Below are 17,044 nucleotides of genomic sequence, written 5' to 3'. Positions count from 1 at the left end.
TATCTGTGTTAAGCTCATCTGGGGACAGATGCCTTAAAAGGAGTTACTCATTCTCTAAATCTACCACAACCACCCCTTGTTGCCACTAGACTCATGATTATTGCCAAAGCTCAGCAAGTTCCAGTAGGACAGGGATCCACCATGACCCAGCAAGAAATAGTTTATACGCCAAAAGAATTGCCACACTTTTCTAATGTGTATCTTCAGAGACCTGGGGAACATGTGTGGAAGTACATCCTAAAGATGTTCGAATGAGAATAGTGGGATAGAACACTAGAGCAGGCTAACTTCATTCCTATGAGCGCACTTTAACTAGACAGCTTTCCTGTCACAATATGGAAGAGAGACTCCAAAGGCTTAGGGCGATAGGCAAATGGGACTGGATTTACCATGTGCAAACTGCATGCCCAGCCCCCAGCATGTTCCAGGAAAAGAGTCAGGAGACAACTCCCTGCACTAAGGCACCAGCAGACTGGAAAAGCTCTGTGGGTGTCTCCTTTGCAGGCTACGTGTGGCTGTAAAGAATGCGACCATTGAGAGAGGCTTCCAGATTTCAATGGGGATGATGGAATCCCAGAGAGGCAGAGTCAAAGTGACTGCATTTAACCACCAAAGACAAGAAGCGTGGACATATTTACAATACAGGGCAGCAGGAACATAGTGCTAACCAGTTGCCTTAGCTCACAAAGATCTGTGGTGGTAATTGATCATAGTGTTCCTAGGAACAAAATGGATGGGTAGTCAAAAATGTAGCTTGCATCATCATAGTAAAAAGTCACAGCCTTTTACCCAGTTTTCAGACTTAATAAATTTACAGATGCAGAGGGTCTTGATTGAAGAATGTCTCTGGTGGCCCACCCTAACCAGAGCCATGCAGGCAGAAGAACTGTGGGACATGTAGTTCAGTCTAGCCAAGTTGACAATTATAAAGCCACCACTCCTAAGGAAGGCGCAGAGCAGCGATTTGACCGTAGGTGGTCAGGAGTCGCAGCCTCCACTCTTGACTGTTACTCTATTTTGCCTCCTTGGGGTACAAGGTGAAAAAACCCTCAACCCTGGTCTGGAGGGCCTGGAACTCCAGCTGACACCCACCACAGTGTGAGTGATGAGGAAAACACAAGGCAACTGGATCCAGTGGCAAATCTGCCATTTTAAGGGGGATGATTATCTTGTCTTTTCTTCTCTGAGGAAAGAGGCTTCTAGGAAGCTGTACCTGGTGGCTGTTTGTTCATGATGCTACTGTACTGATAAACTCAGACCTTCCTAGGTGGGCACGTAAGGCCTGCTTATCCCCCAGCTAGGGTGAGCAAACCTCCTGGTTTGCCAGGGCATGGGAGTATCTGCACTCAACTATGAAAATACTGGGCAAACCAGCACCCCCAGAATCTGGCAATCCAGCCACCACTCAGCTGCTGCATTGTTTGGGAGGGAGGACAACAAAACAGTACGATGATTTGCTCAGATTTTCTCCCTACTATTTTGAATCTATTAAACAGATTACAGAGACTTTTGGCTCTACTTCAGGATAGAATCAGGTGTGTTAATGTAAGTGTAATATTTTGTAAAGCATACATACTTTTGCTGGGTGCGGTGGCTCACGCCTGTAATCCCAGCACTTTGGGAGGCCGAGGCAGGCGGATCACCTGAGGTCGGGAGTTCGAGACCAGCCTGACCAACATGGAGAAACCCTGTCTCTACTAAAAATACAAAATTAGCCGGGCGTGGTGGTGCATGCCTATAATCTCAGCTATTTGAGAGGCGGAAGCACGAGAATCGCTTGAACCCGGGAGGCGGAGGTTGCGGTGAGCCGAGATCGTGCCATTGCACTCCAGCCTGGGTAACAAGAGTGAAACTCTGTCTCAAAAAAAAAAAAAAAAAAGCATACATACTTTCGAGTCTACATATTCTTTGGCCGTTAGTGTGGATTCCAGTAAGATGGTGGAACATTTACCATAAGCTCAATAGATGGAGAGTTCATTGAGGCAGCTTCGCGGCCCAGAACTACATAAGGTCTGTCATACATTTTCTTTGTAAATAAACCTGAGTTAAAAATAACTTTCTGGCTGGGTGTGGTGGCTCATGCCTATAGTCCCAGCACTTTGGGAAGCAGAGGCAGGAGGATCACTTGAGCCCAGGAATTCAAGACCAACCTGGACAACATGATGAGCCCCCATCTCTATAAAAAATACAAAAATTAGCCAGGTGTGGTGGTGCATGCCTGTAGTCCCAGCTACTTTCAGGGCTGAGGCGGGAGGATCATTTGAGCCTGGGAGGTGGAGGCTGCAGTGAGCCATGATCGTGCTGCTGCACTCCAGCCTGGGTGACAGTGAGACCCTGTCTCAAAATAATAATAATAATAATTTCCTCAGAACTTTTAGAATATTTATTTTTAAGAAGGAAGTGTGTTTAATTTTTTTTTCAGGATTTAGTGGAGGCCATTATTGGATACCAGGGGCAAAGGTCAGCCCAGGGTAAGGTGAGTCCAGGAGAAAGCCCAGCCTGTCCTACAACAGCCCTGCGGCATAGAACCGGTGGTGAGCCTGCCATGGTTTGCTTCTGGGCAGCAGGCTGGACCACCTGGGGAGCATGGAAGACTGTGTCTGTGTTCCCTCAACCATCCCCAAGTTTACAGCAGCCCCACTGTGAGTCAGGAGTCATTCCTGACTCACGGTAGGGACAGTTTGCATTTATGGAAAGCAAACTGGAAGGAGTGGCCTGAGCCCATATTGCCCATGGTAATGACTCCTTGCAATGCGAATAACCAAGGTGAGGCAGGTTGGGCAGGTTTTATCCTCCCCACAAAGGCGAGCCTTTGTGCCACAGCCAGCACCTGGCAGAGTGGGAGAGATAGCAGAACCAGAGCTGCTCATTTCCCTCCATCAGGCTAGAGTGGGTCAGTGGGATCATGGACCGAAAGAAGACATTGAATGGCTGGTCTGTCGCTCAGAAACAGGGTCCTGGAGCTGGAGTGGCCATGGGTTGGGTGGAGAGAGTAGGTGGTATGGCCCCCTTAACCAGACAACTAAAACCAACCTGCCCCTTAGCTGCCCACCCCCAGTGAGTTCTGCCTCAGCTTCCTGCCTAAGCCCTTGTAGAATGCCCTCTAGGGCAAGACTTCTGGAGGGGATGGTCCTGCCCTGAGCCATCCTCACATGAGGGTAGAGCAGTTCATGGGCGCAAAGGGCATCTTGCTGACTGCGCCCATCTGCTGCTTCTGCCGCACCTCTACCAGCAGCATTATCCCTGGCTGACTACTGGCAGGGCATGTAACTCATTGCCACAGTCTTCTTCAGGTAGGGCAAGGGACAGCCACTGGTCACAGTACCAATCATGGGCCCTCCATGCTCAGGTGGGACTGTGTGCCTGCATCAGGGCCCCCTCACACATCAACCCCACACGCCTCCACTGCACTTTCCCTTCAGCTGGGGAACAATGACCTTGGCTCCAGGGAAGTCGAGAGCAGCTCAGTGGCACTTCCCCAATGTCCAACTGAGGCTGCCCTCCACAGGGGTAGTGTGTTCATCAGTGTCACTCCTGTACAGCCGGAGGCCTGCCTCCAGGCGCAAGCTGCCAGCACTGCCAGCTTTGCCTCTGGGTTTTCCAGAAGAGCTGATGCGGGGTGAACTGCCCCCGCTGCTGGCACCAAGATGTCCACACCATTCTCTCCTGTGCAGCCACAGTGTGTAAGGTGGCGGCCAGACACGTCAAACACCTCCATCACAGCACTAGTCATGAAGGCAGTTTCCTCAGGTCAGCTGCCGTGCTGGCCTGTAGCACCTGGGCCACAGGGGGCCCTTTCAGGGCTAGCAGGGCAGTATCCACTACCTCCAGGCCCACATCTCTGCCCTGCCTCTAAAGTTCTCTGACCTTGTCCTGCATGAAGGCCAAGTCTTTTTCCCAGCAGCCAGTGTTGGACATCACATGTAGGTGCCCCTCAGAAGTGCTGGTCACAATCAAGTCATCTAAGGTGCCTCCAGCCTCATTGGTAAACAGCAACAGTGTCCTCTGGTTTGGCCTCAGCTCTGCAGTGTCTCCAACCACTAGACTCTGCATCAGCTTCACCGGGTCACCACCACGTATCTCGGTCTGTGCACAACTAAGCAGATGACACAAGGCAGGAGGGAATGCCTGCAGGAGAAAACCCCGATTGGCCACCGTGCTCACAGCCCACTGCATTGTCGCCTCTGACGGGTGCAGATGGTGCACAGAGGCCACCACTCTGCCACACATGCTGGGAGATGTAGTTCTTAGAATATTTAAACACCAGCAAAAACTACAGTTATTAAAGAGAACAGGTAAGTATGTAGATAAACTTAATGCACAGGAGGTGGGGAACTCTCTTTTAGACTTTCTTTCAAAAGCTGCCCACTGAGCACTTTTTTCTTTTAAAAAATTATTGCTCTTTTTTTTTTTAAATTATACTTTAAGTTCTAGGGTACATGTGTACAATGTGCAGGTTTGTTACATAGGTACACATGTGCCATGTTGGTTTGCTGCACCCATTAACTCATCATTTACATTAGGTATTTCTCCTAATGCTATCCCTCCCCCAACCCGCCACCCCACAACAGGCCCTGGTGTGTGATGTTCCCCTTCTTGTGTCCATGTGTTCTCATTGTTCAATTCCCACCTATGAGTGAGAACGTGTGGTGTTTGGTTTTCTGTCCTTGTGATAGTTTGCTCAGAATGATGGTTTCCAGCTTTATCCATGTCCCTGCAAAGGACATGAACTCATCCTTTTTTATGGCTGCTTAGTATTCCATGGTGTATATGTGTCACATTTTCTTAATCCAGTCTATCATTGTTGGACATTTGGGTTGGTTCCAAGTCTTTGCTATTGTGAATAGTGCCTCAGTAAACATACATGTGCATGTGTCTTTATAGTAGCATGATTTATAATCCTTTGGGTATATACCCAGTAATGGGATCACTGGGTCAAATGGTATTTCTAGTTCTAGATCCTTGAGGAATCGCCACACTGTCTTCCACAATGGTTGAACTAGTTTACACTCCCACCAACAGTGTAAAAGTGTTCCTATTTCTCCACATCCTCTACAGCATCTGTTGCTTCCTGACTTTTTAATGATTGCCATTCTAACTGGTGTGAGATGGTATCTCATTGTGGTTTTGATTTGCATTTCTCTGATGACCAGTGATGATGAGCATTTTTTCATGTGTCTGTTGGCTGCATAAATGTCTTCTTTTGAGAAGTGTCTGTTCATATCCTTTGCCCACTTTTTGATGGGATTTTTTTTTTTGTAAGTTTGTGTAAGTTCTTTGTAGATTCTGGATATTAGCCCTCTGTCAGATGGGTAAATTGCAAAAATTTTCTCCCATTCTGTAGGTTGCCTGTTCACTCGGATGGTAGTTTCTTTTGCTGTGCAGAAGGTCTTTAGTTTAATTAGATCCCATTTGTCTATTTTGGCTTTTGTTGCCATTGCTTTTGGTGTTTTAGTCATGAAGTCCTTGCCCATGACTATGTCCTGAATGGTATTGCCTAGGTTTTCTTCTAGGGTTTTTATGGTTTTAGGTCTAACATTTAAGTTTTTAATCCATCTTGAATAAATTTTTGTATAAAGTGTGAGGAAGGGATCCAGTTTCAGCTTTCTACATATGGCTAGTCAGTTTTCCCAGCACCATTTATTAAATAGGGAACCCTTTCCCCATTTCTTGTTTTTGTCAGGTTTGTCAAAGTTCAGATGGTTGTAGATGTGTGGTGTTATTTCTGAGGCCTCTGTTGTGTTCCATTGGTCTATATCTCTGTTTTGCTACTAGTACCATGCTGTTTTGGCTACCATAGCCTTGTAGTGTAGTTTGAAGTCAGGTAGTGTGATGCCTCCAGCTTTGTTCTTTTTGCTTAGGATTGTCTTGGCAATGCAGGCTCTTTTTTGGTTCCATATCAACTTTAAAGTAGTTTTTTCCAATTCTGTGAAGAAAGTCATTGGTAGCTTGATGAAGATAGCCTTGAATCCATAAATTACCTTGGGCAGTGTGGCCATTTTCACGATATTGATTCTTCCTATCCATGAGCATGGAATGTTTTTCCATTTGTTTGTGTCCTCCTTTATTTCGTTGAGCTGTGGCTTGTAGTTCTCCTTGAAGAGGTCCTTCACATCCCTTGTAAGTTGGATTCCTGGGAATTTTATTCTCTTTGTAGCAATTGTGAATGGGAATTCACTCATGATTTTGCCATTTGTCTGTTATTGGTGTATAGGAATGCTTGTGATATTTGCACATTGATTTTATATCCTGAGACTTTGCTGAAGTTGCTTATCAGCTTAAGGAGATTTTGGGCTGAGAGGATGGGGTTTTCTAATTATACAGTCATGTCGTCTGCAAACAGAGACAATTTGACTTCCTCTTTTCCTATTTGAATACCCTTTATTTCTTTCTCTTGCCTGATTGCCCTGGACAGAACTTCCAACACTATGTTGAATAGGAGTGGTGAGAGAGGGCATCCTTGTCTTGTGCCAGTTTTCAAAGGGAATGCTCCCAGTTTTTGCCCGTTCAGTATGATATTGGCTGTGGGTTTGTCATAAATAGCTCTTATTATTTTGAGATATGTCCCATCAATACCTAGTTTATTGAGAGTTTTTAGTATGAAGGGATGTTGAATTTTGTGGAAGGCTTTTCTGCATCTGTTGGGAAAATCGTGTGGTTTTTGTTGTTTGTTTTGTTTATGTGATGGATTACATTTATTGATTTGCATATGTTGAACCAGCCTTGCATCCCAGGGATGAAGCCAACTTGATCGTGGTGGATAAGCTTTATGATGTGCTGCTGGATTTGGTTTGCCAGTATTTTATTGAGGATTTTCGCATCGATGTTCATCAGGGATATGGGTCTAAAATTCTCTTTTTTTGTTGTGTCTCTGCCAGGCTTTGGTATCAGGATGATGCTGGCCTCATAAAATGAGTTAGGGAGGATTCCCTCTTTTTCTATTGATTGGAATAGTTTCAGAAGGAATGGTACCACCTCCTCTTTGTACCTCTGGTAGAATTCAGCTGTGAATCCATCTGGTCCTGGACTTTTTTTGGTTGATAGGCTATTAATTATTGCCTCACTTTCAGAGCCTGTTATTTGTCTATTCAGAGACTGAACTTCTTCCTAGTTTAGTCTTGGGAGGGTGTATGTGTCCAGGAATTTATCCATTTCTTCTAGATTTTCTAGTTTATTTGCGTAGAGGTGTTTATAGTATTCTCCAATGGTAGTTTGTATTTCTGTGGGATTGGTGGTGATATCCCCTTTATCATTTTTATTGCATCTATTTGATTCTTCTCTCTTTTCTTCTTTATTAGTCTTACTAGCGGTCTATCAATTTTGTTGATCTTTTCTAAAAACCAGCTTCTGGATTCATTGATTTTTTGAAGGGTTTTTGTGTCTCTGTCTCCTTCAGTTCTGCTCTGATCTTAGTTATTTCTTGCCTTCTGCTAGCTTTTGAATTTGTTTGCTCTTGCTTCTCTAGTTCTTTTAATTGTGATGTTAGGGTGTTGATTTTAGATCTTTCCTGCTCTCTCTTGTGGGCATTTAGTGCTATAAATTTCCCTCTACACACTGCTTTAAATGTGTCCCAGAGATTCTGGTACATTGTGCCTTTGTTCTCGTTGGTTTCAAAGAATATCTTTATTTCTGCCTTCATTTTGTTATTTACCCAGTAGTCATTCAGGAGCAAGTTGTTCTGTTTCCATGTAGTTGTGTGGTTTCGAGTGAGTTTCTTAATCCAGAGTTCAAATTTGATTGCACTGTGGTCTGACAGTTTGTTGTGATTTCTGTTCTTTTATATTTGCTGAGGAGTGCTTTACTTCCAACTATGTGGTCAATTTTTGAATAAGTGCAATGTGGTGCTGAGAAGAATGTATATTCTGTTGATTTGGGGTGGAGAGTTCTGTGGATGTCTATTAGGTCAGCTTGGTGCAGAGCTGAGTTCAAGTCCTGGATATCGTTGTTAACCTTCTGTCTCGTTGATCTGTCTAATATTGACAGTGGGGTGTTAAAGTCTCCCATTATTATTGTGTGGGAGTCTAAGTCTCTTTGTAGGTCTTTAAGGACTTGCTTTATGAATGTGGGTGCTCCTGTATTGCATGCATAGATATTTAGGATAGTTAGCTCTTCTTGTTGAATTGATCCCTTTACCATTATGTAATGGCCTTCTTCGTCTCATTTGATCTTTGTTGGTTTAAAGTCTGTTTTATCAGAGACTAGGATTGCAAACCCTGCTTTTTTTTGCTTTCCATTTGCTTGGTAGATCTTCCTCCATCCCTTTATTTTGAGCCTGTGTGTGTCTCTGCACGTCAGATGGGTCTCCTGAATACAGCACACTGATGGGTCTTGACTATCCAATTTGCCAGTCTGTGTCTTTTAACTGGGGCATTTAGCCCATTTACATTTAAGGTTAATAATGTTATGTGTGAATTTGATCCTGTCATTATGATGTTAGCTGGTTATGATGTTAGCTGCGCATTAGTTGATGGAATTTCTTCCTAGCATCAATGGTCTTTACAATTTGGCATGTTTTTGCAGTGGCTGGTACCGGTTGTTCCTTTCCATGTTTAGTGCTTCCTTCAGGAGCTCTTGTAAGGCAGGCCTGGTGGTTACAAAATATCTCAGCATTTGCTTCTCTGTAAAGGATTTTATTTCTCCTTCACTTATGAAGCTTAGTTTGGCTGGATATGAAATCCTGGGTTGAAAATTCTTTTCTTTAAGAATGTTGAATATTGGCCCCCACTCTCTTCTGGCTTGTAGAGTTTCTGCCGAGAGATCCGCTGTTAATGTGATGGGCTTCCCTTTGTGGGTAACCCGACCTTTCTCTCTGACTGCCCTTAACAGTTTTTCCTTCATTTCAACTTTGGTGAATCTGACAATTTTGTGTCTTGGGGTTGCTCTTCTCAAGGAGTATGTTTGTGGTGTTGTCTGTATTTCCTGAATTTGAATGTTGGCCTGCCTTGCTAGGTTGGGGAAGTTCTCCTGGATAATATCCTGAAGAGTGTTTTCCAACTTGGTTCCATTCTCCCTGTCACTTTCAGGTACACCAATCAAACGTAGATTTGGTCTTTTCACATAGTCCCATATTTCTTGGAGGCTTTGTTCATTTCTTTTTACTCTTTTTTCTCTAAACTTCTCCTCTCACTTTATTTCATTAATTTGAACTTCAATCACTGATACTCTTTCTTCCACTTGATTGAATTGACTACTGAAGATTGTTCATGTGTCACGTAGTTCTCATGCCATGGTTTTCAGCTCCATCAGGTCATTTAAGTTCTTCTCTACACTGTTTATTCTAGTTAGCCATTTGTCTAATCTTTTTTCAAGGTTTTTAGCTTCCTTGCAATGAGTTCAAACATCCTCCCTTAGCTCGGAGAAGTTTGTTATTACTGACCTTCTGAAGCCTACTTCTGTCAACTCGTCAAAGTGATTCACTGTCCCGCTTTGTTCCGTTGTTGGCGAGGAGCTGCAATCCTTTGGAGGAGAAGAGATGCTCTGGTTTTTAGAATTTTCAGCTTTTCTGCTCTGGTTTCTCCCCATCTTTGTGGTTTTATCTACCTTTGGTCTTTGGAGTTGGTGACCTACAGATAGGGTTTTGGTGTGGATGTCCTTTTTGTTGATGTTGATGCCATTCCTTTCTGTTTGTTAGTTTTCCTTCTAACAGTCAGGTCCCTCAGCTGCAGGTCTGTTGGAGTTTGCTGGAGGTCCACTCCAGACCCTGTTCCCCTGGGTATCACCAGCAGAGGCTCAGTTGGAAATGCAGAAATCACCCGTCTTCTGCATCAATCACACTGTGAGCTGCAGGCCAGAGCTGTTCCTATTTGGCCAGCTTGGAATGGGAAAAACTCTTTTTTTTTTTTTTTTTTTACCCCATTTATTCCTTTATGTAGGAAGACTGATAGTTAAATGTCTAAAAGACAGACAACAGATAAAAGGCAAGAGAAAAGTAATTTTTTTTTATCCTGGCATCACAGGCTTAATCATGTCAAGTTTCAAAACAACCCCAGCAGTCATCTGACCCTGTTCCTGCAGTTACCTAGTGGAAGGGTAGTGTCAAGAGTGATAAAAGTGTAAGAATATTTACCTGTGGTTTCCTTCTTAAAATAAAGTGGAAGCCAGGCACAGTGGCTCACACCTGTAATGCCAGAGCTTTGGGAGGCCAAGGCAGGATGATCCGTTGCAGTCAGGGTTTCAAGACCAACCTGGACAACATAGCAAGACCTCATTTCTACAAAAATTTAAAAATTCGCTGGGTGAGGTGATGCATGCCTGTAGTCCTAGCTACTTGGGAGGCTGAAGCAGGAAGATTGCTTGAGCTCAGTTGTTTGAGGTTACAGTGAGCTATGATTGCTTAACTATACTCCAACCAGGACAACAGAGTAAGACTCTGTCTTTAAAAAAAAATTAATTAATTAATTAATTAATTAAAACAATAAAATAAAGTGAAGAAGATTCAAAGTTCCACTATCTACAGGTCTGTCAGGAGAAACAGATAATAGAGAAATGATAACAGCCGGTACCCACAGAGTGCTACTTACTACATGCCAGGTGCTGTCCTAAGCACTTTACATCTGCGAACTCATTATTCAGTTGAGGGAACTGAAAGAATCTTCGCTTTCAACCGTCAGTTATATTGCCTTTTCACAGGCAAGGCAATTGCAGTTATGTTGCAATTTTCAATTGCATCTGCAATCAGATGCAAAGGAATTGCTAAAGACTCAGTAGTTGAGGGCTATATTTTGAGCCAGGACCAAAGCAAAGAACTACTTTCATTTATAATAAGGGCCCAGATGCAGGAAGTAGACATCTCAGACAGTGTGGTGTGAGAGCAGTGTGGGATGGCAAAAAGAGGATCCAGGCCATCCTGGAAATAGTCCTTTGGCCACAGAAGTTAATTGTTACCATCAGTGCCTTAGAAAGTAAGAAGTAGTGACTGACATCAGGACTCCAAAACTGGGTAAAGTTCAGAATAGATGCAGTCATTCTTCTTTTGTCATCTTCACGAAATCCTGAATTATGAAATTCCTCTGGGAATATTTATATGTTGATACCTGCACAAAATAGACCCTACGTGATAATAATCATCTCTATTTTGGTGCATAGTTTTCTGTATTTCCTGTGTGCATGTGTGTGTATGTGCACACACGTGTTTGCGTGTGTGCATGTGTATGTGAGTGTATGTGTGTGGTGTGAATGTTTTCAATATGCATCAAGGGCCTGGACAATGTGATATATGCGTGTTTGTTACTTTTAATCTAGAAATAGGAATTTAGCATTTGAAGTGCCCTAATCAGGAATATACTCTCCAGGATAGGTTTGAAATGTTTTTCTCAGGTCTCCACATTCCAGAGGACCTGTTACAAGTGGTTTGACTATTGCTATCTCAATGTACTAGTTGTTAATATACTTTTAAAATGATAGAAATAGTTTTCAGTTGGCAAAATGTGCGATGTTTAAAATATGTGGATTAGCCAGGCACAGTGGCATGTGTGTGTGATCCTTCTCAGGTGTCTGAGGTGGGAGGATTCCTTAAGCACAGGAGGTTTTTGTCTGTTTTTGATTTGTTTTTGTTTTGTAGAGAAGGTGTCTTGCTATGTTGTACAGGCTGGTCTCAAACTCCTGGCCTCAAGAGATCCTCGTGCCTTGGCCTCCCAAAACACTGGGATTATAGGAATGAACCACCATGGCCAGCCAAGCCCAGAAGTTTGAATCCTGCCTGGGCAACATAGCAAGACCCCATCTCTAAGAAAATAAAATAAACTTAAATTTAAAAAATAAAATGTGTGAGGCCGGGTGCGGTGGCTCACGCTTGTAATCCCAGCACTTTGGGAGGCTGAGGCAGGCAGATCACGGGGTCAGGAGATCGAGACCATCCTGGCTAACACGATGAAACCCCATCTCTACTAAAAATACAAAAAATTAGCCAGCATGGTGGCAGGCGCCTGTAGTCCCAGCTACTCGGGAGGCTGAGACAGGAGAATGGCGTGAACCCAGGAGGCAGAGGTTGCAACGAGCTGAGACCACGCCACTGCACTCCAGCCTGGGCGATAGAGCGAGACTCCGTTTCAAAATAAATAAATAAATAAAAATAAAATAAAATATTTGGATTAATTAGCAATACTGTAGAAGAATCTGTGTCCTTATATGTATAGAAGTGCATAAAATTTATGAGCCCAGCAGCCTATCTATATCTTTCAGAGTGGTCTTTGTGGCTCAGGCTCTGATTTGGACCTGAAGATTCTGCTACCTATTCTGAATAGTAAGTGAGCTTAACTTGGCTCTAGAATATTATTGCATCTGCCTTGATTAATTCTTTCCTGCAAGATACTTGGCAGTGTGCCAATGGTGGAGACAACCAGTTTTCTACCAAATAGTCCATTCTCCTCTTCTTCTTAGGTGCTTGGCTACACCACCCAATCCAGCTCACCTAACAGATAGCTGTATTCATGTGGCTAAGTTTCACCTGATGGCATGTGAGTAGAAGAATGTATACCTAGATTTCTGGGCCTACACCTTAAGAACATGAATATGCCTATTCTGAGTTCTTGTTCCCTTCTTGCCATTTGGTTGGCTAGAACTTTGCTATGCAGACAACAAAAGGCCCAGAGAGTAGTGCAGAATCACGTTGGAAGGAACCTGAGCCCCTGAGTGGCTCATGAAGCAGACCACCTGCCACCTTGGAACATTCACCTTGGACTGTTGCTTTAAACCACTGTATTATTATTACAGCAGCTTTTCCTTATCTCATCCGATACAGTGCCTAAGGGACTGAGCTGAGCTTGTAAGAAGAGCACGCCTGCTTGCTAATGATTACAGCGGTAGCAGAATTCCATCTAGGGCTGGATACCAAGGTAACATGCAAACATTTAGTGAGTCTGGGGGGAACAGCAACACAAAGCCCTACCCTACCTCTTACTTTTAGAGGCCTTCAACATCTCCCAGTAAGAATCTAACAGGTGTTTAAAAATGCAGATTTTGTTCACAGCTAATATTATACACTACAGTGAAAATGGAAAGCCTTTCTTCTAAGATCAGAACAACGCAGAGATGTCCATTCTTGCCACCTCTATTCAACATAGTATTGGAAATCCTAGCTACAGCAATTAGGCAAGAGAAAGAAATAAAAGACATTCCCCAAATAGGAAAGGGAGAAGTTAAATTACACCTGTTTGCCAATAACGTGTCCTTATATATAGAAAACCCCAGAGACTCCACCAAAAAACTGTTAAGATAAACAAATACAGTAAAGTTGTAGGATCCAAAATCAACACACAAAAATCAGTACACTGAAAACTATTTAAAAAATAATTAGAAAAATAGAAGACACAAATAAATGGAAAGATAGCTCATGCTCATGGACTGGAAGGATTAAAGTTGTTAAAACGTCCATATTACCCAAAGTGATCTATACAATGGAATACTATTCATCTACGTCTGGGTGCCTTAGACTGCAGAATTATCTGCCCAAACCACTTGGAGCCTATTTACAGGGCTAGTACATTCTCTTTCCTGATTAAGTCCTCCTAAGGGCAGACTGCACAGCTGGAGTACACAACCCTAATGGCTAAGGATGCCCAGGGGACACACATTTTATGAAGTGGGTGTGGTTAGAGCTTAGCTATGCAGCATCAGGTGTCCACACATGTGTCCACAAAGCCCTTTGTAGTGTAGGATGGGGCATAGGTAGAAATAAAAGAGGAAATGCCCTCAGACCAGGGATGGGCAGCCAGGGAGCCAGCTGTCTCCATAATCTGGAGACCCCAAGAAGTCTGAGAATTCTAAATAGGAACCTGCCCTTCCAGGTTATTATAAAAGTGTATTTGTCAAGATGTGAGGGTAGAACATATTTTATTTAACAGTTCGTTACAAATATTTAGACCTGGCCGGGCACGGTAGCTCACACCTGTAATCCCAGCACTTTGGGAGGCACCTTTGCCCTAAGGGCCTTCAGCAGAGGCATTTCCACCAATGAACAAGTCATCAGTGTTACCCTGCGTCCTACTTACCATCTTTCCCTCCAACTCCAGGCAAGCCTGTCTGCAATCTCCCAAATCTTATACATGTTGAACTATTGTGGCTGATGATGCCAGGGTAGGTAATCATGAGAGCAGCTAAAGGGAGACCATGGTGTTGCTAACTTAGCAGAAGCCTGGAGCTCAGAGCGAGTGCAGGGTAGCCAGAGTGGCACTGGGTGGGGAAGTGGGTGGAAATGCGGGATTGCTTTCTTGATTTCTTTTTAATTAGTTCATCCTGGTTATATAGAAACTACCAATTTTTGTATATTGGTTTTTGTATCCTTCAACTTTACTGGATTTACTTATCATTTGTAAGACTTTTTTGGTAGTCTTTAGGTTTTTCTAAGTATAAGATCATGTCATCTGTAAAGAGAGACACTTTCACTTCTTTTCCAACTTGGATTATGTCCTTATTTCTTCCTCTTTCCTAATCGATCAGGCTAGGACTTCCAGCACTATGTTGAATAAGAATAGTAAAGGTGAGCATCATTGTCTTATTCCAGTTCTTAGAGGAAAGGCTTTTAGCTTTTCCCCAGGTGGTATGATGTTAGCTGTGGGTTTGTCATATATGGCTTTTGTTATTTTGAGGTATGTTTCTTTTACGCCTAACTTGTTGAGACGTTTTATCATGAAGGATGTTAAATTTTATCAAATGCTTTTTCTGTGTTTATTGAGATGATCATATGGTTTTTGTCCTTCCTTTGGTTAATGTATCACATTTATTGATTTGCATATGTGGAACCATTTTTTGCATTCCTGGGATAAATCCCACTTGATCATGGTGTATTATATTTTTGATGGTTGTTAGATTTAGTTTGCTAGTATTTTGATGAGGATTTTTACATCTATGTTCCTGAGAGATATTTTTCTCTCATAGTTTTCTTTTTTTGTGTGTCCTTGTCTGGTTTTAGCATCAGGTAATGCTGGCCTTACAGAATGAGTTAGAAAGATTTCCCTCCTCTTTAATTTTTTGGAATGATTTGAGAAGAATTAGTGTTAGTTCTTTATAAGCTTGATAGAATTCAGCAATAAAGTGATCCAGTTCTGGGCCTTTCTTTGTGGGGAGAGTTTTTATTATGATGTAATCTCATTATTGGTCTGTTGAGGTTTTCTGTTTCTTCCTGGTTTAATCTTAGAAGGTAGTATGTTTCCTGGTATTTAATCAATTCCCTCTAGGTTTCCTAGTTTTTGAGCATATAGTTGTTCATAATTCTCGCTGATGACCTTTTGCATTTCTGGTGTCTGTTGTCATGTCTCCTTTTTCATTTCTGATTATGTTTATTTGGATCTTATCTCTTCTTGGTTATTCTAGCTAGCAGTTTATCAATTTTGTTTTTCTTTGCAAAGAACCAACTTTTTGTTTCATTGATCTTTTGTCTCTTTCATTATTTATCATTGCGGTTTGGTGGTTTTCTGTAGTGGTAACATTTGATTCCTTTCTCTTTCTCATTTGTGTATCTGCTATGCCAGTGAGTTTTACAGTCTTATGTGTTTTCTTGATGGTAGACATCATCCTTTCTGTCATGTGTGTCCATGTGAAGAGACCACCAAACAGGCTTTGTGTGAACAACAAGGCTGTTTATTTCACCTGGGTACAGGCGGGCTGAGTCCGAAAAGAGAGTCAGCAAAGGGAGATGGGGTGGGGCTGTTTTACAGGATTTGGGTGGGTAGTGGAAAATTACAGTCAAAGGGGGTTTTTCTCTTATGGGCAGGGGCGGGGGTCACAAGGTGCTCAGTGGGGGAGGTTCTGAGCCAGGAGGAGGAATTTCACAAGGTTAATAGTTCAGTTAAGGTGGGGCAGGAACAAATCGCAATGGTGGAATGTCATCAGTTAAGGCAGGAACAGGCCATTTTCACTTTTGTGGATCTTCAGTTGCTTCCGGCCATCTGGATGTATATGTGCAGGTCACAGGGCATATGATGGCTTAGCTTGGGCTCAGAGGCCTGACACTTTCACTTCTAGATGAAGGACTCTCAAACATTTCTTGTAGGACTGGTCTAGTGGTGATGAATTCCCTCAGTTTAAAGTATTTCTTTTAAACAAATGAACACTTTTCTCTAGATAGTGAATCTAAATCTCCTCCAGCTTGTTCCATTGCAGATTGACTTATATAATTTGGTCTGAAGATAATTCATCTTAGAGAAGATGATGCACTCAAAACAGAGAAGATGTTAAGAGGCTTTTGAAACTATAAAGCAGTCCCACTGCTGTTGTCCGAGTTTATCAACTCTTTTGCAAATTATGTATGAGTCAACACTACTGCTTACCTGGCTTCTACTTTATGAGTAACAGCTAAATAAATGAGTCTAACTTGGAGAAAATCAATGTTCATTTTCTTTTGCAGTTGTCATCTGCAGCAGGACCTCACTTGAGTACTGCCTCTGAGCCTAGGTTCTGAAAGCTAGTTTAAAATTCCCTCTTTAAGTTTGTCTGCTGAATGTTCTGTGACAAATTCCCTTTCACGCACGTCCATGTGAAGAGACCACCAAACAGGCTTTGTGTGAGCAACAAGGCTGTTTATTTCACCTGGGTGCAGGTGGGCTGAGTCCGAAAAGAGAGTCAGGGAAGGGAGATAGGGGTGGGGCCGTTTTATAAGATTTGGGTAGGTAAAGGAAAAAGGGGGGTTTTTCTCTGGTGGGCAGGGGTGGGGGGTCACAAGGTGCTCAGAGGGGGAGCTTTTGAGCCAGGATGAGCCAGGAGAAGGAATTTCACAAGGTAATGTCATCAGTTAAGGCAGGAACAGGCCATTTTCACTTCTTTTGTGGCGGAATATCACCAGTTAAGGCAGGAACCGGCCATCTGGATGTATACATGCAGGTCACTAGGGATATGATGGCTTAGCTTAGGCTCAGAGTCCTGACATTCCCTACTTCATCTCTCATGCTGAATATAGTCCCTGCAGGATACTTTAATTTTTTGGAATGATTTTTAAAGATTGGTGTTACTTTGGTAATAATAATTGTTTTTATTTTGGTAAATATTTAACTTTAATCAGGTCTTCATTAGACTTAAACTAGTTGACTTCAATAGTCATGGAATGCCTTTA

At 42.8% G+C, this 17,044-nt stretch overlaps 1 pseudogene, besides 1 other annotated feature; it reads right to left on the bottom strand.

The window, feature by feature from the left end:
- On the bottom strand, positions 3,224-4,198 carry LOC391674 (aminomethyltransferase pseudogene; annotated as a pseudogene).
- Positions 15,766-15,815: an enhancer, noted in NCBI's record as "active region_21685". NCBI's record gives its function as "activates an Ori minimal core promoter by ATAC-STARR-seq in GM12878 lymphoblastoid cells {active_cell/tissue: GM12878}" and the evidence as "EXISTENCE:reporter gene assay evidence [ECO:0000049][PMID:35858748]".

The sequence above is a fragment of the Homo sapiens genome, chromosome 4, assembly GCF_000001405.40.
Source record: "Homo sapiens chromosome 4, GRCh38.p14 Primary Assembly".
In the NCBI taxonomy this organism is placed as follows: Eukaryota; Metazoa; Chordata; class Mammalia; order Primates; family Hominidae; genus Homo; species Homo sapiens.
The sequence above is the reverse complement of the archived record's forward strand: the minus strand, read 5'-3'. Positions and strand labels throughout refer to the sequence as shown.